Genomic DNA, 25,710 nt, shown 5'->3' on the forward strand with positions numbered 1-25,710 from the left:
GAACCTGGAAGAGAGAGAAAATGGTGTTTTTTATTTTCTCAGAGAAAGAAAAAATGGGGAGGTCCTCCCCAGGTGTGCCTAAAAGTAAAAGAAAGTGAGGGCTCCATTACACCTGAACACAGGCAGGTCAAACTGCATTACATACTTGGCCCCAGCCACAAATGTGCAGTGCCCTTTAACATATGAATCTAGATCATCTGCTAACAAAACATGATTCAATGACTGTATTAGTCCATTCTCACGCTGCTGTGAAGAAATACACAAGACTGGGTAATTTATAAAGAAAAGAGGTTTAATTGACTCAGTTCCACATGTCTGGGGAGGCCTCAGGGAAATTACAATCATGGTGGAAGGCACCTCTTCACAGGGCGGCAGGAGAGAGAATGAGTGCAAGCAGGGGAAATGCCAGATGCCTATAAAAACATCAGCTCTCATGAGACTCGCTATCATGAGAACAGCATGGGGGAAACCACCCCCATGATCCAATTACCTCCACCTAGTCCCAACCTTGACACGTGGGGATTATTATAATTCAAAATGAGATTTGGGTGGGGACACAGACCCAAACCGTATCAATGACTATCAGGTTTTCTGCAATCAGATTAGCTGCTCCTCCTTCCTTAGGGAGGAAGGAACATACTTTTTAAATATTCATGGAGTGAGGATGGAAACAAATGTAGATTTGTATCTAACAGTTAAATGCATACTTTGTGGGAAGTGGTCATACAGACTAGCATGTACAGATGCTAGTCAGTCTGGTGAAGGGGCTCTCCACCCCAATCTGTATTCTTGTTCGGCACTGTCCTAAGGGTGAAGGTCAGATGCCATATACCTCAAATTTCTTGCCTTGATATTGATTGAGCTCAATCATCACGTATTTTTTTCTGAAATAAAGTTGGGCAACAAGCAGAAGGCAAAATAAACTGAAGTTCTGTGATGCTAACTAGAAAGTAACTAAATGAATTTTAAACCTTTCTGTTGGATATAGGACATTCTTGCGTCTGTTTTCAAATAATTGTTATATAAAATTTTTAGCTCTTACTGCTCTTTCACTGAAACTCATTAATATAGGATGATGACTTGCTCCACGAACTTCTTTCAGTTCATACTTCTTTTTCCTTATTGTGTTGAAAACTCAAAGGAATGTATAATATTATAGAATATATATATTTTTTAAGACCAGGTCTCACCCTGTCACCTAGGTTGGAGTACAGTGGTGGGATCATATTTCATTGTAGCCTTGAATTGCTGGACTCACATCATCCTCCTGTCTCAGCCTCCCAAGTAGCTAGGACTGCAGGTTCTTGCCACTGTGCCTGGCTAATTAAAAACAAAAATTCTTTTTTAGAGATGGGGTCTTGCTACCTTGCCCAGGCTGGTCTAGAACTTATGGCCTCAAGCAATCCTTCATCCTTGCCCTCCTATAATGGTAGGATTAAAGTCTTGAGCCACTACTCCTAGCCTAATATAGAATCTTAAAGCTCTAAAAGATAAAAACTCTCTGGTCTTGTTGATCCACTCATTTTAAAGGATTAGGCCATTGAGGCAATTGATGCCTGCAGCTTGTAAGTGACATGTTCAGTGTCCTGTGGCTATATAGTGGTAGAGCAAAGCTCAGGGCTTAGGTTATTTGTCCTTTTAAATTAGAATTTATTTAAATATTCAAATAAAAGGCAGCTATGAAGCCTTAAAAGTACAGATCTATAATGTGAAAAGATCACCCCCAACCCTTGGCTTTCATGCCCATTTTATCCCTGTAAGATGTCTGGCAGGGATTATTCCAGGGGGAGGAGGCCTATTTGGCCAGGGCCTCAGTTCACAGAAGGCCCAGTATCTTAAATTTAGACTTTTGAGCTTCTCTCTATAGGAGGTTCCTTAGTCCCAGGGATTAACTGATGGATTTAGAGAAGATTTAGAGAAGAATTTAGGTTCATTTATCTTAAAATTTTAAACTCAAGTTTCTTCTGAATTTTATAATTTTGTTTGGGTACTACAAGTATATGTCCTGTTGTTTTTAAATTAAAAGTGTTAATGTGTTTAAATGTAGACATATAACATTTATTTACATTTTTAAACCTCTGTTTGGCATTTTTTTCAGTTTTTTTATGTTTTTCAGGTGTCTCAAAAATGGACAGTGCTGGGATATCTCTTGAGCCCTGAGCTGTCCTGTTCATGGCTGGTGACTGCAAAGCCTGCTTGGCCAGGCAGAAGCTGTTCACTGTGGGTCAGCGAGTGCCACTGTTTGATAGCTGTCATTGTTGGAAATTTCAGCTGTTCAGATCCTAGCCTTCTGAATCCTTATAGGCTTTTGGAATTATTTGGGACTCAAGAATAACTCAACGAAATCTAGAAACCATTATGTTGATAGAGAAACAGAGGAAACAAATGGCAGAGAAGAGCACAGATTGTGAAGGTTAGAGAAGGTGTATGGATGGGGCATAGATTAGCTGTCGATGTTTTCAAAGGATCTGTAAAACCTGAGAAGCATTCAAGGAAGGAGATGAGGTAGAAGCTACCAGAAAAAGCAAAGCAGAGGGAAAAAAAGGAAGAGTGGGCAAGGAAGAGCACCAGTCATGGAGAAAGAGAATGAGTGAGAGGGACAGCTCTTGGGGGACTTTCCAGGAGATGAAACCGAGAATCTTGGATCATTAGTCATTTATATCCCAGGATTCTCTAAAGGAAACTCATGTGTCTACAATGAGTATGTGAATGCGGGGAAGGGGCAGGGGATGAAGGAGGAGATTCCCCTGAACTCAACCTCTAAGGGCAATCAAAAGCCATGGCAACCGTAGCAGCTCAGCACACTACACAAGGGGAATTTGGCTGTTTTGATACCATTATAATATATCAGTCAGGCTAAATTGATTGAAAGAAAAGATCCTCTCAAGTTACCTCGGGAAAAAGATGTATTTTAAAGAAATACAGACCGGAAGTGGATCTATAGCGCCCTAGAGGCTCAAGGCATTTATAGGGATTGATGGGTTTCTCTTGCTCCAGTTCCTTCTCCTCCCCTACACCCCTTTTTTTTTTGCCCTTTCCTGCCCCTCTGTCCTACTGTTCTGCTGCCTCCTCCTTCTTACAAACTCTCCTTCCCTTTCTTCTCTCTTTCCTCAGTTCTCTCTTTCTTTCTGTCTCTCTCTGTCTCTCTCACACAGACACACACACACACACACAAGAACACACACACACATACACACAGCAACAGCAGCAGCAGCAGCAGCAGCAGCTCTGCTTGTGGTTCTCTTTGCCCATAGATTTCATTGTTTTTTTACTGCCAGCTGACTACATCCTCCTTCTTTCCATGTCTTTTTGGGTCCCTCCAAATTTTGTATTACACATGGCATTATTTCACCATTAGGTTACTACTGACTGGCATAGTTTCTTGTTTTTTCCCTTGATATATTTTGAAAACAAAGAATCCAGCTAGCTTAGCTTACTCTTTCAGATCTACCTATAAAGTACATCCTATGCTATGAATCAGCTGTCCATCCATCTAGTGCTGATTCTTGGTCTACTTACCTAGGGACAGGTTAGGGTCACAGGAACATGAAATGTGGATGCTTAGACAAAGAAGACTGTAACTAGGGTGGGGAGTTAGCCAGAAGAGATCCTTTGACAGCTCTAATGCAAACGTAAGTTTAAAAGTATTATGAGATAGTAGATGCAAATGCAGTGAACAGAGCTGTGTTGTAGAATATGGTGTGGTACAACACAGATTCCAGACTTCATTTATAAAAGACAAGGCCAGACGCATAAGAAAGTTATGTTAGCTATAAGAGAACAAACAGACATTGGACTCGAGAGGTTGATGAATCGCTATAACATTCGTTCGTCTCCCTTATATGATATCAAATCTTAGAAAGGCAGCTGTTCACAATTTTTTTGTGTGTCTGGTAAATCATCTCAAGCTGCTGCAGATTCAGTATCATGCATATGACAAAATTAGGCAAGTCAACTGTGTGTTACATGAGTGGTTCATTTCGCCTGATGTTCTATTACATTTGCAGCTGCATCTGCATCTCAGACACGTAACATTAACTGATGTTCATAATGATAACCCTGAGTCATTAAGGAAATGTTGTATTATGTCTGGTACAGTACACTTGAGAAGTAAAGAGATGAAATGGAGAAAGAACTGAGACTTACTGAATGCTTGCTGTATTGCAGATACTGAGAGAGATGAGCTACTTATGTTACTGCCCTTAACAACAGAATCCTGTGACATAGGTACAGTTACCTTCATTTTACAACTGAGAAAAAAACATGTTCAGATAAGGATATTTTCCATATTTGAATTAGGAATCCAAATCCATCTTATTCTAGAATTTTTGCTCTCCCTTTATATCACCAACCTGTTTAATTTTTTTTAAAAGACATATTCAAGTCAGTATTTAAATGAGATAGCCTTAGGTAGTCAGTGTTAGCTAGTCAAAGACTCAAACTCAAAATATTCACAAAAGAAAGAAGAGAACTAATATTTGAGCACATGACCATTCATGATGATTTATTCCCTGTGAACTATGTGTTATTATCCCCAAGTTATAAGTTAAGGAAATTCATTAAGGCAAAGTGACTTGTCCAAGGTTGCTCATTGAGAGAGATGTGGCTTTAATGTGTTTTTGTTTGTTTGTTTTGCAGGCTTCTTTTGTCAATCCACTATGTAAATGTTAGTTTTCTTAAGTCAGTCCTGAGCTCCCTCATTTTCTTCTCCTTCAGTTTCCTTTTGTAGGATAGTTTCAGATGTAAGAATTCTGAAATTTATAACTTTAGATCCCACCTTGCTCTCAAGTTCCCTACATAACTTAGATACTTTTTTCATATACCGTGAAACACTGAAACTCAAAAGATATAATTTTTTCATTTCAACAGTCTCCAAGTATACCTGCAACCCCACATTTCTTGTCTAAGTGAATGACCCCAATTACTCAAGCAAGAAATCTATGTATCACCCTACTTGACTCAGTAGGTGCTGACTGGCCACCTCTTGTTGTCCTTGATATGAATCTCTTTCTTCCTCTTCCTCTACCACTTCTCTAATTTAAGCCAGTCCTAAACAATTGTAGTAGCTATATCAGTCTGCATTTCTCAATGCCATTAGAGTGAACTTCCTATTGAATAATTTTAATCATATCACTTTCTTGCTCTTAATTCTTCAGTGATCCCCATAGCCAAAAGCAAAGCATCCATACTGCTTTGCACAGTAGTACTCATAACCCCTCATGACCTGGTCTCTGTTTGCTACTTATTCCCACCTTCATGGTGATATAGCAATTTTGACATACTTATGGCTCCCTGGACACACCGAACACTGTCAAAGTTTTCTAACTTTGCCTGTTTCCTTCACCTGCTGGTTTACCACACTATTCGTCAAGCATCCTCTCAAATGCTTTTTGATTATTAAGTCTTTCCATCTGTTTTTCAGGGCTGCTATGACTCTTTATTCACACTTCAAATACAGCAGGTGTCTTAGTGTACTGTAATCACATGTGGATTTTTGCTCCTTGGACTGATAACACTGGGCTGAGATGCAGTGTGCACTGGGATGGACATACTGCCCTTTGTGGCTGGCATGCTTTCTGATTAATTATATATCTGTTATGAGTGGTTGGTGTTTATGGCAAGCAGTTGTTCAATATCTTGAATGTCATCTCCTGCTTACTACCAAGCAATGTCTGGCATAGAGAGGGTGCTCATAAATACCTGTTGATTCTTGAATTAGGAATGAATGAATGCCGAGTTATGGCTGGCTTCAACTTACCCTCTTCCCTTCACTGCCTCTGGCTGTACTACACTGAGCTGGTCGGGTTTCTGTGACATATCTACCTGGGCTGGTTCTGTACTGTAGCAAAACAAAGAATAAATGTATTTTGTGAAGAGCTTTCACATATGTGCAGAAAGTTTGCATGTCCCATTGAGGCTTCATTCCTAACAAACAAAATATCCTCACTTTTATCAATGATTTTCAGAGACTTCTTACTGCTCGTAGATGTCCTCTAATCATACAAATTTATACTTACAGCACAAGAATGAGAACTAAGAATAATAATCCAGATATGATCTCATCATTGCAGGATGAATTATGATGATTGGATCCTGTGAGTTGGAAGGCCACTGGCGGACACTGATACAGGCTTAATGACATGGACTTCCTTCACAGCCATATCATCTTGAGCTTGTGCTCACTTGAAGTCCAGGATTTTACTTTACTTTTTCCACATGAGCTGCCATCACATCAGATATGTCCTGGCCCATTAAAAAAATAAATTTGTACTTCTGATTATCTCATTCTGTATACCCCTTTGACCCTCATTCTGGTTTAGGATTTTCTGCAGTTTGACAATTGTGCTTTTGACATCTTTCTTACAAATTATGGATGAAAATACATAAGCAGCAGAGCAAATTTCAGAATCCCATGTTACACCACTTTTCCTCCAGCTTCAGACTGATTCATTAATCAACATTGTTTGGGTGCAAAATGTCCAGATATCGATTCCTGGCTCCAGGGGTGTTTTTTTTTTTTTTTTTATTTCCTTCTATCTAATTCCGTGCTTTGTCCACAAGATATAATTAGAAACCTGAATGGCTCACTTAAATTAATGAGTACCAGGCCTGTATAGTTTATTTAATCTATTAATTTCCAGCCCTTATTAGGAAGTCATCATCATCATCACTGTCATCATTCATCTGTTGAAATCAATTTACCAAAGTAAATTCCTGTCTTTGGTATTAGCTGGACCCCAGTCCTATGTCTTGGCAACTTTTAACTTAGACTCACCTCCAGTACCATGGCCTGGAAGGGCGAGATTCTCCCCAGGCTTCCTCCTGAGTCATAGGGCTTCCCCTGTTAGCCTCTCTGCCTCTGTCTTCTCTCAACTGCCTTCATAACCTCAGCCACAAACTGAAGACTTTTTTCTGGTGAAAACCATTCAGACTAAGCCTTCTGTGAGTTTTTCAGGTCCTGTAAAGATGGATGTGCACAGAGGTGGGTCAAATCACTTATTGTGTAGACTTCTGTCTCTTTGTTGGCTCTTTAAGGGACTTTAGGCCATATGAATAAATCTGTATCTGTATGATAGGTATTGATCTCATTTTGCATATAGTGTTGCTAAACTGAAGCTTAGGCAGATAAATTGGCTTTGGCCAAGATCCATGACTACTGAGTTGTGAGGGTGAAATTTTAATACAGGTTTAAGGCTCAGAGGCTCACACTTGAGCCATTAAATTAACTCATCCTGTTGTCTTGTGAGCACAGATTTCCTTCCTTCCTTCCCTCTTTTCTTCCTCTGTATTCCCTTCATTTTCTTTCCTTTTCTTTTGTGCTCACCTTATCTCCTGTCTCCCTTCTCTCTTTCTCCCTGACCTCATCCTCCCTCTATTTTTTTCTTTTTAGAATTCATGATCACAGTAAAGTTCTTTCAGTCCCTGGGATGCTATTTATTTTAACTTAGGATTGATAATTTACCTCACAAGCCAACTTGGATTTGTCGAGAAAACTAGTCCTTTTATTTTATGTATAGCAGATGTAATCTTCACGCACCTCATGCACTGGTAAATGGAAGGAAAAACACTACCTACAGGTCAAATCGATCTCAAGTTTAGTCTGTCTCATGATGTAAGCAGCCCCTTCTGAAATGACAGGCTCTCAGATAGCTTTCTCTTTTCTTGCTTCTCTCCCTCAAGGATGTCCTGGTCTAGGAGAGGTGGGGATTGTGACTTGTGTGTCTTTACAACACTGGGAGTTGGGGTCTTAGGCCCTTGTTCAGCATATACCTGTTGAACACACACACACAGGGTGCAGCCCTAGCCTCTGTAGGGTCACCTGATCCCTTCAGTATGAGTCCTGGGCAGGGAACACTGTCAGCTTGGAATTTGCACTTCACTAGAACTGAGCCGAGCACGGGAGTGTCAGCCAAGCATCTCTCTCTGACCATGATGCTCGACCTGCTTAGCGAGGCTGGGCTTACCTGTTGGCCTGGAACCCTCAACCCAATGGTCCCTCTCACAGTGCTAGGTGTCATGTATAGGAAAGAGGCCCCTGGCCTAGGTTCACCCGTTGTACACCAAAGCCCTCAAATTAGAAATCGGAACATATGTTGTCTCACCTTTTTTCATATACCTTCCAATAAATCTTACACGATGAAAAACAGGATGGATGCGGTGGCTCATGTCTGTAATCCCAGCACTTTGGGAGGCTGAGGCGGGCGGATCATGAGGTCAGGAGATCGAGACCATCCTGTCCAACATGGTGAAACCCCGTCTCTACTAAAAATACAAAAAATATTAGCTAGGCACGGTGGCACGTGCCTGTAGTCCCAGCTACTTGGGAGGCTGAGGTCGGACAATCGCTTGAACCCGGGAGGCGGAGGTTGCAGTGAGCCAAGATCGCGCCACTCTACTCCAGCCTGGTGACAGAGCGAGACTCTGTCTCAAAAAATAATAATAATAAAAGAAAAAAGAAAAACGGGCAAGGTTTTCTGTCTCCAGATTAGTTTTTTTTTTTTTTTTTTTTTTTTTTTTTTTTTTTTTGGTGACTTCAGACAAACATTAGTGGTAGAAGGGGATATTTTCCTACAATCTGGTTAACCCCCCGAGCTGGCGTCTTCAAGCTTAGTTTTTGACATACAAAAGGAGGCAATGAAGAAATTTGGAGAATAGTTTCTCTAGAGATTGACTTTAAAAGCTTTTGGCTTGTTGTCTAATCATATTTTTATGTCAGAAGCTGACCATTTCTTCAGCTTTTCTCTTTGCAGGACACCTAAAACAAATCTTAATCAGTTCCTTGGGACATGGCTACCTCAGACTTGTTAGGATCAGCAAAAGAAGATTAAAAATATTTAAAATAGCCCCCTTAAGTAAAAGATGGGATATATTTACAGTGTTTACTTTTGCATTTGATTTAATTTGAGATTTTCTTTGAGAAGATGGAAGGAATAAAGAGCAGTTGAGATGTTACACTTTTGATTTACCCTGCGTATCATTCCATTGTCCTCTGACCCATGTCTTTAGCCTATTGCATCCTCGGTTGTCTTCTTCTAAAAGTTGTCTTTTGTGTTGATATTATTGTCCTTAGTATTTTAAAATAAGTCTTAGTTCACTTTGAACTATAATCTCCATAGAAGAACCACCAGCTTCTAATTTTATTTGTTTGTTCTTTGTTTTGTGCTCCTGTCCCTTTCTTGGCCATATTTTCATACTAAGTTTTTTAGAAAGCAGCCAGTGAAGTAGCACTGTTTCTGTTTGTTGTTATTCTTGTTTTAGTGATATCATTTTTTTCTCTTTAGGATTATTTTTAATTAAATATTTATATTTGAGGTCTTAGAAACACTTCACTATATTTGTCTTAGAGCCTCAATGGCAGGATCCAGTTTAATATTTCTTGATGTTTTTGAAATATTTCATAAATTCCAGAATAAGTGACTTAGTATACCAAGCGTTTCCTTTGCTTTTTGTTTGTTTCCCTTTAATTTCAACATGGAATGATATTATTATTCTAAGATTCCTGTCACTGCCACAAAAATGAAACAATGTTTCCTTATGGGTCAGAAGTAAATTTATGGTAGACATTTCCCTTCCGGCTCCCTCTGCATATCAGTCATTTTTCTGCAAAGAAAGTGAAAATTTATTGCATGAGAAACTTTGAAACATCACTCAGTTCTCTTGTTTGTGGTCATATTTTATGGCTTTGAGTGGGGACTTCTGTTCATTCCCATATTATGAACAACAGACTGTTATTGTAACTCATCTGACACAAGAGTTTCCACAATAAAATTAATTGGAAATTTCAGAGAATTGAGAAAGTATAGCTTAAATTGATCTTTAGTTAGGTACAATTTCTTCTTTACCCTGAGACATGAAGACTTTAAAATGAAGACTTAAAAAAAAATGAGGCTGATACTTATTTTTGTAATATGGTGCTAGTTATGTAAAATAAAGTTTTGTTTTAATGGGTTGTTAGACAAATTTTAACGAAATAAAAATAATGCAGAATAATCTGTCTCTGTAGAAGCATAGCCTCAGATTTATGGTCCAGAAATCTAGGAGGGTGGCATGTAATTTAAATATTGAAGGGCATAACTTATCAAATGATATGTCAAGTACAAAAATGGCCTTGTAAAAAGATGACTTTATTAGGGGAGGAAGTAAGGCATATAGTGAACATACTACATAGACTCACATTTTGGAATCGGTATGACTACAGAAAACCACCTTACTTGGACTGGATGGATTTGATAGTGGAAATGAGTGGCCTGTGAGGATGGAAGTTTTTGTATTTATACAGGTTTATGCATCAGAAGTTGGCACTGTCTAAAAAATCCAAAATAAAAAAGGCTAAAAAAAGTTTCATTTTATTTTGCTTTAAAACAAAAATTCCTACATCTAGTGTGATGTTGGTGGTACAGCTACTTCAGTATCTACATGTTGACATTAAAAGTTGCATGACTATTTTCATATTAAATGTTATCCAGAAAGTATGACCCACCTAATATTGTTATTGAAACACCATTTCCAGTCGTGCAATTAATCCTAATTAAACATTAGCACAAAATTTGGAAGATCAGAAAGTTGTTAGTACCATCTTGAATCTCATGATTGCAGAATTAATTTAACAACCCTGTTTGGGCATAATACATTCCAAAAAAATATTTAAAGAAGCATCGATTTATTCAGAAGGTTTATATTTGCTTCATATGCATTCTTCAGTGGTATTCAGGAAACAGCTGTCAGATAAATTATAAAAATACGTGATAAACAAAACCAACTCATCTTTTTAATTGATTTTAATCTAGCTTCATCTAGGCAGCATAATGCTCTTCACTGATAGTAGAGTGAATAATATGAATGCAATTACTTAGCAATTCACCATGACTTAAAAATATACAGAGCCTTAATCTATTACTAATATAGTGTAATGTCCAAAGCAGCAAATTATTGGTGGGAACTATTGAAGATCAGCTGGTAGTTAGTCATACTGCTTTGTTCAAATTTAATTTCAAGAAACAAAGAAGGAGACATGATTACTGGTAGTAACAGCAATGAATTATGGGAAACTACCACTGAATCATTTATTGATTGATAGTGAGTGAAAGTCGTTATCCTCTGATGGCTGTTTGAACAGCTAATATGAAACGATGCAGCTGATGTCTGTCACGAAACCTTTGCCATATTAGCTGTTTCCTAATTGTCGCTTTTATTTTTTGCAGCAGAAATTGGAGCATGGGGGAAGAGCCGTGAATCTAAATTTGTTTTTTGTTGTTGTTGTTTTTTTGCTGATGGAGAAAGTGCTTCTTGGTTTTAAATTCCTACCAAAATAAGAGGGAAGGAATTTTATTTAGTTACCTGAAGTAATGCTAGATATTAAATGATGAAGACTATCAAGATTCCTCCATTTTATGGTATGCTTTATAATATTCAACATCAAAGGTTAGCACAGCCTTTTGTATATTCAAGTAGATAGGAATGGCCCTGGGTGTTACTATCTACCGGATAGAGCAAGAGAAAGTTGACTCTGGCAACTGTCATTACCATTTATTTCTCTCTTTTCCAAACTTAGCCCCCTTTTTTCTCCATAGCAATTGGCTAGAGTCCTCTTGAAGTCTGTATTGCCAACCATAAGTTGTCAGGTGTACAGTAAGTTTTCAAGATAGGATTTGTAAGGTAGACCTAATTATCTTCTTATTTTGGATATTGGGAATATGCAAAGGCTATGACCAAAATTTAGTAATATTATTTGCCTAATTATTATTTAACTTGGTTAATAAGCCCTGATTTAGTTACACTATCGATAGGATGAAAACCCTTGCCTTGAAAATTGGCAGCTGTTGTTTTTACCATTGAACTGTACAAAGCTCTTCCAGTCTATTATACGCATTTTTTTTTTTTCTAAAGAAAACAAGAAATGATTGGCCGGGCGTGGTGGCTCACGCCTGTAATCACAGCACTTTGGGAGGCCAAGGTGGGCAGATCACCTGAGGTCGGGAGTTTGAGACCAGCCTGACCAACAAGAAGAAACCCCGTCTCTACTAAAAATACAAAAAAATTCAGCCAGACGTGGTGGTGCATGCCTGTAATCTCAGCTACTTGGGAGACTGAGGCAGGCGAATTGCTTGAACCTGGGAGGCGGAGGTTGTGGTGAGCCAAGATCGCACCACTGCACTCCAGCCTGGGCAACAAGAGTGAAACTCTGCTTAAAAAAAAAAGAAAAAAGAAAGAAAAAAAAGAAATGACCAATTAAGTGTATCTGATTTAGGAACCGAATGTTGATAACTTGTTTTCAGATTCAGTCCATAATGGAAGTCTATAAAAATGTCAACCAGTTATCAGGGCATAATGCCAGGTCATCTATGTGTTCTTATCATCTTCAAACAGATCAGATGTCTATCATCTTCCTGCTTTGTGCACAGATCTGGGCCACTATGATAATCATAATACATTAGATTTACCTAATGGTTGTTTCCCGGGTTACCCTCTCAGACTTTTGCAATGTTCAGCCTTGCTTTAATGGTTTCTTACAATGCACAAGTACACTTAAATTGCAGCACTGGATGTTTTTCTCCAAAAGTGTTATACATGGAAGGGGAAGGGGGTGAGAAAGATCCTGTAATTGAATAGTTAATAGGCTTTTCACTCAATGAACATGTCCATGAACCTGATACATACTTGTTTTGACGTCTAAAAATGATATTCGAGATGGCTTAACTTGGTTGTTGATTAGCAAGTCTCCATCTAACATTTTCAGTCAAATATTTCTCTCCCTCGCTTGGATGTAAGCCTAGCTAGCTGAGCTGGGGGTGAGAAGGACAGAACGAGTTGGTGTGGGCAGCCTGGTCTGAGTTCTTTTTGGATTGCGTGTTGTAAATCTTCATCCTCTGGGCTCAAATGACCAATATTATATTTTTCAGAAATCAATAATCATGAAATTCATCACTGTTCATTTATAGGTGAATAATTACACACTGAAGAGGCTAATTGCTATTCTATAATATTTTGAAAAACTAGAAAATGGAAAATTGCTAAGAAAATTTATCCATTCCCTTTGCAAAAAAAGTTGGGTTTTGTCAAGAATGTGAAAAGTCTGAAATTTTTCTCTACTTTCAGGCTAACAATTTATTTAGCCTTCCACAGTTTCATGGCAGATGCTGGCAGAAGACATGATACTCCTAGATCAGAGACAAAGACTTCATTACAGCACAGCAAGCAAAACGAACTCCCTTGTCCCTCCAAGTGCTTTGGGGTTGACATAGAGGGGCCTCGGTGGGTACTGTGCAATTAGTGGGTTTGCATCACAGCTGAGGAATCCTAAGTTTAGGAATCCTGAATGTTTTGTAAGGGATGACAAATGAATCTGCCTGAACTTTGCTCGGAAGAGAACCACTATCTTTATTATATTGGGCCATAAACAAAGCTGCCCCTACCATCTGTTTCCATGGGAGACACTAACTCTATATTCCCAGCCTGTTTACTATCAAAACATTATTGAAAAGAGTTCAGAACAAAAGCATAGTTAGTATCTTTGCTCTCAATATGTACAGAAATGTGAGAGACCTATAGAGGTCTAGTTCTAATGTACCTAATGTACACTGTGGACTGTGATAGCTTATGGGTAAAATGATGAAAGGACCGAAAAGCCTATTGATGAGCTTGCATAATGTATATATTTCTGACTCAGATAAAAAAAAAGAGAATATCTGGGAAACACTACCAATGGGGATGGAAGTGAACCAGTTTTACCAATAAAATCTTCTAAATAGTGTAACTAAGACAGGAATCTCATTAGTCCTAGATTGAATTAATGCATGCTGTGACACATCAAGCTGAAAAGTACTATTAATCTTTGACTCTATATAAAATATGTATTTTGACATAATAGTGTTAGTTTAGTGTGTATGTCATATATATAGGTACCAGATTAAGATGGATTTTGGAATTGTTTTGTGCCTTTTCAAGCAGTATAATTTTTAAAAACAAATTCTTGATACAGGTAGTTGTGATTTTCTTTTAACATTCCATGTTAAGATGAAAAATACTGGAATTAAAAACCCATTATGAGAAAGAGTAAATTTGAATATTTCTCCATTATATAGTAATAAATGTTTGTAAAATCTTCCTTGATCTCATGTTTCCAGGTTACTGTTTTGGAATTTGTTTGGCCTTTGCATAATCCTTGATTGACTTTGGTAAATTATATCCTAGTGGAATTATCCACTTTCATTAGCACCACTTTCTTCTTCTTCTTCTTCTACTTTTTTTTTTTTCCTTTTCAGTCAGGGTCTTACTCTTTTCACAGGCTGGAGTACAGTGGTGCGATCATGGCTCACTGGCTCACTGCGGTCTCGACTTCCTGGGCTCAGATAATTCTCCCACCTCTGCCTCCTGAGTAGCTGGGACTACAGGCATGCGCCATCACATCCAGCTAATTTTTTTCTAGTTTTTGTAGAGACAGGGTTTCTCCATGTTGCCCAGGCTGGTCTTGAATTCCTTGGCTCAAGCAATCTGCTTGCCTCAGCCTCCCAAGGTGCTGGGATTACAGGCATGAGCCACCATGCCCAGCCTGTTAGTACCACTTTCTAAGCACAAGATAAAAAGCTTATCTTTGCCTAAAATATCTTCATTACCATATTTCTTTAATAAGACCTTTATCATCTCCTGTAGTATCTGTCTGTGTTATATGAAGTTTTACAGTAAAATTTCATATATGCCATTTGGTGGGTTACTATGGAAAATTTTATCTGATGTTAAAGTTGTCCATCAAACTACTTGACAATAACATCTCATTTATAAACATCATTCAGATTTATTGGATGATGTATTATTACTCAGGTTAAATAAGCATTCTAGTAAACTGAAAATTGTTAATACATACATACCACAACATTTACTATAACGTTCATAACAAATTTTCAAATGACTCAAAGACAAGTACTTTTTTAAGCTAAAGTTGCAATCAAACTAGTTTGATCTTTGATTAATGCTAGTGGAGCTAGAGGCCTTCTGTTGTATCTGATCTCCTGTGAACAGTGGCAATTTCTAAATAGTTCTGAAGATGTAATATTTGACCAAATCTGCCCTTATCTGGGGTTTTATTTACTGCTTGGCTTTTCTACTATCAGTATGGTTACTGTCATGTTTCACTTTTAAAAGCCTGAATACAAAATTCATAGGAAAAAAACGCTAATTATTTCTATTTTGTTTTTTTTAGAGTGTCAAATGCAGTGAACCAAGTTTTCCTATATATTTTTTCAGATAAATTGAAAATAGTAAAATGTAATAAAAATATAAAATGTCTCATTTTTAAAATGTGAAGTTCTTTTAGATCTAACATTTGATAGCTATAATAGACTTATCATAATATCATAAAACTAGAATCCCTTAGTAATAATCTAGCCCATCATCTTTATTTTACAGGTGAGGAAATTGGGGCTCAAATAAGTTAACAGACAGACTCATGATTTCCCAGATTATTATGTAAATATATGGGACTGGAACCCCAGTTTTCCATGTGTTAATTCATTGCTCTTCCATAACCAAATTACCCTGAAACTAATATGACATTAATTTTAAGTTGTACCATTACTTATATATCACTAAGAAATAAGAAAGACTTCTAATAAATTATGATAGTTTCATTAATGATAGCCTCTCACCCCCCACTGCTGCCCCAGCCCAATGCATGAATCCATCCCCTCATTCCCTCATTGCTTTGAGACATTTTAAAATCTATTCTGAGAGTTTGGGCAAGACTTTCCCCCCTTCATCTTCACTGAGTTGCATGTCGGGAAATCCTTTTGCACAAATAGCAGTAACAAAATACAACACAGCTACATATGTTTGTGGGTATCTTTCTCGTGTTTCATAGGACACTTTGTTGATTTGCATGAAAATCAGTAATTGTCATTCCTCCAATGAAGACTGTTTTACTCAGACCAAATTTATGCCCTGTATTTTGTTGCCATGTATTCATATAAACAATATATTTATGTTTCAGTGATGAGAAGGTGTTTTAAGTGGCAATTAACATGTGTTGTAGCAACAATGCCCATAGCTTAGTCAGGAGAAAGAGTTCGATTATCTATGTCCAAGAACAGGTAATTGCAACTTCATAATGAGTTTCCCTTGCATTTATCTTTGCAGTCTTTGTAAGAAAATATCTTGCAAGAGATCTCTTGATTTCAGAGATGTTGACATTTAAAATAATAATAATAATAAAAATCTGAGTCTCAGAATTGGTGAAATATACCTCCTTAAGATTTGCTAGAAGTCTGCTTCAGAATGTTTCTTGTTGAATAATATTTTTACAGAATACTATGATTATTTACTTAAAAAAGGCTCTTCAGCTCTTGCTAGCACATCCAAACAGAGAAATAAATCTGGGACTCTTGATTGCATGCATATCCTATTCTATTTTTAAGCTTTTTCAAATCGAATAGATTGCTTAGTAAATGCTCTTTAATACACATGTTCAAAGTTCTAACTTTGTGTTTGGTGGGATGCTCTTATATTACAAAACTTAGTTACAAGTAGTGAATGTCAAACATGACCATGAACTTCTAAAATTCAGAGTGGTTTATTCTTCATTAATTTTCAAAATTGAAATACATTTTAAAAGGACATGGTTTCAAAATCATTAAACTCCTCAAAGGAGTTCCCACTTACGTACTGTTTATCTGACTCATGTAGTTGAATATTCAGTAATACAGAGTTTGATTAGCGTTTTTAAATTTTTTACTTTTTGGAAAAAATAATCTTGGTTTGGAATATACTGAGTCTATACAGAGGACAGGAATTTAATTTCAAATAAGTTTTCAGATTGCTTCTAGCTCCCCATGTCATAATTACTATTTTGACAGTTATGTCTCATAGACATTTATTTTAATTGCATATGTTAGCAATTCATTTTGGCATGACACTCTCTACCATTGTTGTGTTGCCGAATTATGCTTACAGAAACTATGTCAGAAATTCAGCATGTGGAGAACAGTAATTAACCTGACTCATCAATTAGCTTTTGTGAATACAGATGTCCTATGAATATATTCCAGTCATTTTTTTTCTTTTTTAATTAAGTAAAATCTCACTACCCTGATTCTCTCCGCACCTTCTACTTCTAACCTGTCTCTGAGTCTTCTTCACTTACCACCTGTATGTTTTGAATCTGTGCCCTATCTACCATCAATAGCCTGCATATATTAACATTGTCTCTCTTCTGTGTTTTGCCTATTTAGCCTCTGTCTCCCACACACACTCTTGTCCCCTCTAATTCATTCTCACCCTTGCAAGTAGAGGAATATTTATAAAATTCAAGTCACGTCTTGCTGCACCCACCTGCTGGGTGTGTGGAATGATTCTGGGACTACTTCACAGGAAAAAACGAATATCCTTGAGAGAGGCTACAAGGCTCTACACCATCAGTCCTGCCACCCTCTCTGAGTCTCGCCATGTGTGAGTCTCTGTGTCTGCTTGCCACATGGACCTACATTCCGTCCCTTGAAGGTAGACACCATGCTTCTTCCTCTATAGGGACTTTGCACATGCAATTGTTTCTTCTACCTAGAGCATTCTTCCCACCCAACCCAGCTTCTCTTGGCCAGCTCCTTCATTTTTCACATCAATAGTCACTTCAAACATTGCCTTGTCTGGCCACCCAGACCTAATCTAGGGCCTCTTTATGTGTTCCACTGGAAATATGAACAGGACTTTTATGATTCTTATCACAGAGTACAAAGAAATATGCATTTATTTTAATAGGGTGTGTGTGCTGGACCACGGTGGGTTTCACAGGGTAGGAATTCTGTTTATTCACTGCAGTATCCACAACCATTTGCACAGCAATTAGCACGTAAGTGTGCAATAGTTACTTGCTTAAAAAATGAGTAACTCTACTACAATGAAATGGGTGATTATTAAATCTAGGCTGAAGTGAAATTTATATTTTCAAAGAAAAGTCTGCCATAAAAAAAAAAATGTAACCGTAACAGTGGTCCATTTTAAATGGCTTTTAAAGAGATTTAGAATACATGGTTTGGAAATGCACTTAATAAAAAATATGTCTTATCATTAGAGAGTCACATATCTTATATATTTGGTTAGGCACTTCCACTTCCCAGCTGTGCAAATAATTATCTTTCTGCATCTGCTTCCTGCTCTACCTGCTCTAAATATGTCTCCGGCTTGTTGTAAAGAGAAAGCAAGTGGGGTGGGGTGTGAACTATAAAACACTGTATGTACAGTTTAACTATTTAAGTATGCCATGCAGATTCTTTGTTAGCCATTGACTTGATTTTTACAACACCCTTGAAAATAATTTCTGAAATGTCTCTAACATGTTCTACATTTTAGATTTTCCACTAATTAATACTGACTTTTCTTTTAAGTAGTCTAAATTATCATGTATTTTTAGATATCTTATGCATTTGTTTCATAAACTAACATTTGTTTTGAGGACATTACCTGCAATGCATGTTTTTTTTTTTTTTTTTTTTTTTGAGATGGGGTCTCGCTCTTTCACCAGGCTGGAGTATAGTGGCTCAATCTCAGCTCATTGCAACCTCCGCCTCTCAGGTTCAAGCAATTCTCCTGCCTCAGCCTCCTGAGTAGCTGGGACTATACAGGCACGCACAACCATGCCCAGCTAATTTTTGTTTTTTTAGTAGAGATGAGGTTTCATCATGTTGGCCAGGATGGTCTCGATCTCTTGACCTCGTGATCTGCCCGCCTTAGCCTCCCAAAGTGCTGGGATTACAGTTGTGAGCCACCACACCCGGCCAATGCATGCTTTTAAATTTAGAAGTTTCACCTCATCCTGAAGAAGAGCTCATATGAATATGATTACAAGAAAATAACATTTAGATTGAGCCTTTATTTTTTCTGATGTCATGCAAAATCCGTAACTATACTTTTTAGCTCTTTCTCTTAGCCAAAGGGTAGTCAATTATGTTAGTAGATGAGAGGATATTATTCAACTAAGTGCAATGACCATTTTAATAATATTTATATTCACCTGAAATGTTGATCAGACTTTTACCTAGGTTGCTATATTCTCATTTTATATACATAGGTCTGGCATATAGACATTTTCATATCTACCTCTAACTACAAGGAATATGTATATACTTTTTTAAAAACTGAAATTCTTTTGAAACCCTTCTTCTAATTCTGTCTCAGTCAGTTGTGTTGCTATAAAGGAATACCTGAGGTTGGATAATTTTTAAAGAAAAAAGATTTATTTGGCTCATGCTTCTGCAGGCTGTACAAGAAACATGGTGTCAGCATCTACTTCTGGTGAGGGCCTCAGGAAGCTTCCACTCATAGTGGAAGGTGAAAGGGAGTGGACATCACATGGTGAGAGAGGAAGCAAGAGAGAGAGGAGGAGGTGCCAGACTCTTCAACAACCAGCTCTCAGGGGAGCTCTCAAGGACACTAAGAGTGAGAACTCACTCACTCCCTTGAAAATGGCACCAAGCCATTCATGAGGGATCCATCCCTATGATCCAAATACCTCCCATCAGGCCCCACCTTCAACACTGGGGATCAGATTTCAAAAAGAGACTTGGTAGGACCAAACAAACCATATCCAAAGGGTAGCACTATCCATGCCATGCCATTATTTTATATACAAATCTGGAGAAGAAGCATTTGAAATGCAATTGTCAAACCTATATTTGATAAATTAATCTTTATTTACAGCAATAAGTATTGTCTTACATCTGTATTAATATAAAATAGTCGTATATATACATACATACATATATATATATATATATGTATATATATATACACACACACACACACACACACACACACACACACACACACACACACATATCAATTCCCCCCAACCCCCAAGGGCATATTTTCAAACTGGGCATCAACCAACCAATTTTACAGGTATTTTTCACTGAATTCAGTCTATGTTTTGGACTAAAGTTTATGGTCCAAATTATGTAATGATAAATTAGATAAGTCTAACCATTATCTTTACCTCTCAGATGGTCTGGAATAATGGCAGCTCAATAAATCCTTTCCCTGAAATACAGAGAGGTAGATACTTGTCTTGCTTAGTACACCAATTTCCATGTTTTACCTTCAATTATAATAATTAAAGTGATTAAAGGGTTTTTATTATTGACATGAATCATGTGAGTCATCTTTTCCCAATGTCAACAATATTCTTGAACGAAATATATGACTAATGACTGGATTTCAGCTGTAACATGTAATATTATCATGTATTAAAAATCTAATATGATAATTTATGTATTTTATAATAAATAATGTATATATTTACATATTTTGTAATTTGTATGTATGTAATTAATTTATGGCACACTTTAGTCAATGATAGCATTTAAATCTGAGTCCATTTCAATTTGAGTTGCACTACCAGCAGATTTCCAGCCTACATTTTATATTTGAAATGTATTTGCTTTACTTCAAATTAGGTGTATTTCTTGTTTTGTTAAGATACTGAGTTCAAATTTATCTCTTTTAAATGACACTGTATTGACCTTTGCACATTGTCTGTTGTAAATGTGTAATTTTATGTGTCAATACAGTATCATTTGCAAATCAGAAAAAGAATCTGGCACCTCCTCCTCTCTCTCTTGCTTCCTCTCTTGCCAGGTGATGCCTACTCCCCTTCACCTTCTGCTGTTAGTGGAAGCTTAGCTTCCTGAGGCCCTCACCAGAAGTAGATGCTGGCACCATGTTTCTTGTACAGCCTGCAGGGGCACCAGCCAAATAAATCCCTTTTTTAAATAAATTATTCAGCCTCAGGTATTCCTTTATAGCAATATAACTGATTGAGACAGAATCATTGCAATATCATTTGCAACATCATTGCAAATTCTATTAAAGAATCCATTAAATATTGTGATTTAGTGAAAGCTACTTAGTAAAAAGGTTATGTTCTATTTATTTGTAGTATCCCTAAGGCGAAACCTGTAGGCTTCTTAGACATACCATTGAAGGCTACTGAAATTATTGAATTCAATATTATAGTATCTGCTAGTGCAGGCCAATATGCGTAGGTCAATACCCAATCATGATGGTTAATTTCATGAGAATATTGTTGCAGAATGTTGGGTTTGAGGGAACCTCCCATGTTCACTGAGGTTAAAATACATCCAAACTCATCCAACATAATTTCCTAACATGCCAAGAGTGATTGGGAAAGGGATACATTTTTGGGATAGATTAAAATAAAAAAAGTGATAAAACATGAAAACAAATAGGGCCTAAAATCAGCTAATTAATTCAAAAGTGATCAGAGAATAAAAGTTCTGCAAATAAAGGTTAGAATGGAACTCAAAGGAAGCAAGTAATGCTCACCTTCCCTAGAGAGCTCTAATAAGAATGTCACATTAGGTCATGACCATCTTCTCCTTATCATGCTGCTGTTCTCTGGCTCTGTTTTGATATTACTGCTGGTTGCAAAGTGCTTTATAGTATTTAGAAATAATCAGACCCTTCTTACTACAAAAAACCTCAGTTCTCTTTATTACCTAGATGTATTGTGTAGGCAACTGCCCTTTGGTATTCATTTTGAAGGTTTAGAATGACCCTTTCAGAAGATGTTAATTACATATTTTGTTAGGGCTAAGTATGGTCTCTAAGAGGTAGCTTCTTCTTTCTTTATACAAATATTATTTGTATCCTGAGATTTATATCAAACTTTTACCTAATTACCAGATTTTAATATTCTTATTGACCATATTGGAGATAATTCAGAGAACATTTTGTTTTTTTTACAAGTAGTTACTGAAAGAAAAGAGAAAATAACTTTATATTGATTTTTTCATATGATTATAGATTAATCCTCAGGCAATATAATTAATATCATAATTCTTCCCATCTTTTAAATGAAGAGTTTACAAAACATATAGTATTTGTTAACACTTAATATTTACTATGTGCCTGGTGCCATTCTATGTGCTTTTACATATATTACCTCATTTCATCTTTACAATAGCTCTCTGTATTAGTCAGCTTGGAATGTTATAATAAAATACCACAGACTGGCTGGCTTAAACAACAGAAATTTATTTTCTCAAGGTTCTGGAGGCTGGAAGTCCAAGATGAGAGTGTTACATGGTTAGTCTGGTGAGGGCCCTCTTTCTCTCTTACCAGTAACTGTCTTCTCACTATGTGCTCATAAGACCTCTTCTTTGTGTATGACGAGAGAGAGAGAGACAGACAGACAGACAGAGAGACAGAGACAGAGACACACAGAGAGAGACAGAGACAGTCAGAGAGAGGGAGAGAGGGAGGGAGAAAGAGGGAGAAAAGATGAGAGAGAGGGAAAAAGACATGTCGGGAGGAAGCCAGGGAGGGAGGGAGAAGGAGAGAGTGTGCAGGAATGAGCACAAGTGCTTTCTGGAGTCTCTTCTTATAATGATACTAATCCTATCAGATCAGGGACCCACCATTATGGCTTTATTTAACCTTACTTCCTTAGAGGCCCCATTTCAAATACAGCCACACAAAGGGTTGGAGCTTCAACGTACAAACCTTCAGTTCATAACACCCTCCAAGCTAAGTTCTAATCATTCCCAGTTTACAGAAGAGGCAATTGAGACACTGAGGGTTTGGTGATTTGCTGGATGTTACCCACTAGCAAGCTTTAGGGCTAGGATTCATACCCCGGCTGTCTCACTCAGGTCTCTCTCTGCCCTTAACTGCATTAGCCAGAGATCACAGAGAAAAGGCAAAAAGAGTAGAGATATTTTATGATACGGATAAGAGATGAGAAAGGGAACTTAAAAGATTCACATTTTCTACTTAAAAGCAAAGTTACAAAGCCTGTGGAATTGCTCTGACTTAGAAAGAACTTGATCATGCTTTTGGAGTCTCTATGTGTTCTCTCTCTGTTGGTTAGTTTTAAATCAGCCTGCCTCACAAGGGAGCCTGCATTTGATTCCCAAGCCCACCTCACATTTACTGAATCAAAGTCTCTGGGAAGGTGGCAGTCTGAGACTGTGCATTTTTAAAGAGTTCTCCAAATAATTTGTATGTGTTCTAAGGTTTAAAATTCACAGCTTCTCGAAGAGGTGTCCAGCTCAGGTTAGGAGATATAATTGGAGGTGATACAATTATGTTTGGGCCAAGCACTGGGCCATGTGTAAGCTCTTGCTCAACGCAAAAATCTGATATGCACCAAATCCTTTAAAAACAGCTCTCCAAGGAAAATTTAGGTAACCTATTCATACTGCTGGCATGTGCTCCTCCTGTTTCCACCCTCGTTTATTTTGGATATTTTTCCAGTCCTGGAAATCATCTTCCATTTTGGCACCATTTCTTGATTGCCATCTTGATAGGACTTTTGTCTGCCCACTCCCCCACAACAACCATTCCTGTCTCCCACTCACTTTACCACCCAACTCCCTTTCTTGTCTATTCCTGGATGCAGGACACCACATAGTACTTTCTAACTTTGATATTGCCTATGACCTAGAGAGTGGTAAGTCATCCATGTGACTTGGTTTGAGAGGCACTGACAGGCTGAGTGACTCAACGTTGTTTCAAAGTCTAGTTCCTATGGTGTGTTGCTCAGGCGCAATTTACATCGTATGGAGCACTTACTCCAAGATATACACGAGAGAAAATTCTACAATTGGTTTTGATTGGGAAATACTTCAAATTGATCTATAAGTTGTAGATAAACAAGTTCTTCAGGGCAGGATGTGAAAAGCACATGCACGAATTCTCTTGTGTGTCTCCGTGTATGTAAGATTTGGTAAAAGTTTAGAGCTGTATATTTTTCACATTTTCCTAAATGTTTATTAAATAAACATTTAATAGACACTTGTCATAGTAAAAGTTCTGAAAAGAGAAAAACTAATTCTATGTATTTCAACACATCAACCTCCAAATTTATTTGATCACAGAACCCATATTTTCTGCATAGGTGTTTTGATTTTCTGAGGACCTAATGTTTTATGCACTAGTGTATTGGTTCATTTCTTGAGGCTTAATTTCCCAAAGCTCTTTTTAAAAACACAAAACACTTACCTGGGGCAGAGAGTATGGATGATCTCTGAACACTTCTAGAAAATTTTACAACAGAGATTTGAAAAGATAAGGATGTAGAGAGTGCAGGACAAAGATAAGTTAATCTAGGGCACATGCACTTTGAGATAAGAGGGTATCATGAAAGAATTTTAATGGAAATTTTGGGTATAACTGGGGTGATTAGGGATGTTCTGAGTTAACTCCAATATTTTATTTTATTGATTGAGACAGAGTCTCATTCTGTCACCCAGGCTGGAGTGCAGTGGTGCAATCTCGGCACACTGCAACCTCCACCTCCCTGGTTCAAACGATTCTCCTGCCTCAGCCTCCCAAGTAGGTGGGATTAAAGGTGGGATTAAAGCCATCATCATACCTGGCTAATTTTTTTTGTATTTTTAGTAGAGATGAGGTTTTACCATGTTGGCCAGGCTCTCCTTGAACCCCTGACCTCAAGGGATCTGCCTGCCTCGGCCTCCCAAGTGGTGGAATTACAGGTGTGAGCCACCATGCCCTACCTCCAGTATACTTTGGAGGGAACATGAATGTAAGATGCAGAAGAACGAAGAAGATGATGAAAGAAAAGGTGGATATGAAGGTGGGAGATTTGAAAGCAGATTTTATGCCCTTCACAGATTTTTAGATGCCAAACCTGTCAAGAAGTTTGAGAATTGAGATGTAGATATATATGTGTGTGTGTGTGTGTGTATCTCTATGTATCTATCTTATCTATGTATCTATGTATCTATCTATGTATCTGTGTATCTATGTATCTATCTATCTATTTATCTATCTATCCTACCTACCTACCTATCTGTCATCTACCTACCTACCTACCTACCTCTCTCTGTATCAAGAGAACTTTACATTTCTAAAACTAATTATCTCAGGTCTCTAAAGTTAAGACCTGATGTCAATGTCAAAAGTCAGTCCTCTTCAAAACATTTTAAATTTGTGATGTTCCTGAACAACAGAAGGCTTAACATCCTGCTGTGTGTGAAGATAGGCGCACCACCATAAATTAGAACATGTGGAGCTTTTGTTTTTCCTTTGACTTTCAAGTCCATCATTTTTATTAGTGTTCTTAGAACCCCTTTCTCTGAAGACAGACTTTGCAACTTTCTCTAAAGTTTTTAAAGAGACAACCACTTTGATAAATTGAAGGAAAGCAAGAACAGAGAGCTTGGATTTTATCTGTTTTTTTTTTTATTTTTCCATTAGCATAAATATAACATACAAGGAAAATTCATGTGTGCCTTAGGTCATGACTGTAATGCTTGCATCTTCTCTAGGAAGAAGCCGTTTTTTTGAAGTTGGTATAAAAGTATGTGTCAAGAACACTACCTTGAATTTTACCTTGAAGTCATAAGCCATCCACAGAATGTGTACGTTTAGGCAAAAATGCTCATTAAATAAACTTACATTCTGTCTAAAAGTTTGTTGTAAAACTTATCAATTGAAATTTCTCAATATTTGCAACTATGTCGTAGCAATGTATAGCCACATATGAAGGGCCAGGTGTAACCTGCATTTTCAGTTTGGCACATTGCCCTTCTGTGATATTCTGCTCTTGGGCCTTTCCTTTTCCGCTTGTATTCCTTTTCTACATCCCTTCCTATGTCCCCATACTGTCACTCTGTTCATCAAAGCCTGCCTTCAGGAGAGGAGCTCACAGACGAATTCATAATAAGTATTAATAACTGATAAGGC

At 37.5% G+C, this 25,710-nt stretch overlaps 1 protein-coding gene across 9 annotated transcripts in view, besides 1 other annotated feature; it reads left to right on the forward strand.

Annotated features, from left to right (window-relative positions):
- NKAIN2 (sodium/potassium transporting ATPase interacting 2) overlaps positions 1-25,710 on the forward strand; it is a 1,021,776-nt gene that overhangs the window by 88,179 nt on the left and 907,887 nt on the right. The gene's annotated exons all lie outside the window — the stretch shown is intronic.
- Positions 24,590-25,439: an enhancer, noted in NCBI's record as "OCT4-NANOG hESC enhancer chr6:124237778-124238627 (GRCh37/hg19 assembly coordinates)". NCBI's record gives its function as "activates a minimal SCP1, AML or CMV promoter by ChIP-STARR-seq in naive H9 embryonic stem cells {active_cell/tissue: H9 hESC(naive)}" and the evidence as "EXISTENCE:reporter gene assay evidence [ECO:0000049][PMID:30033119]".

This window comes from Homo sapiens, chromosome 6 (genome assembly GCF_000001405.40).
Source record: "Homo sapiens chromosome 6, GRCh38.p14 Primary Assembly".
NCBI lineage: Eukaryota > Metazoa > Chordata > Mammalia > Primates > Hominidae > Homo > Homo sapiens.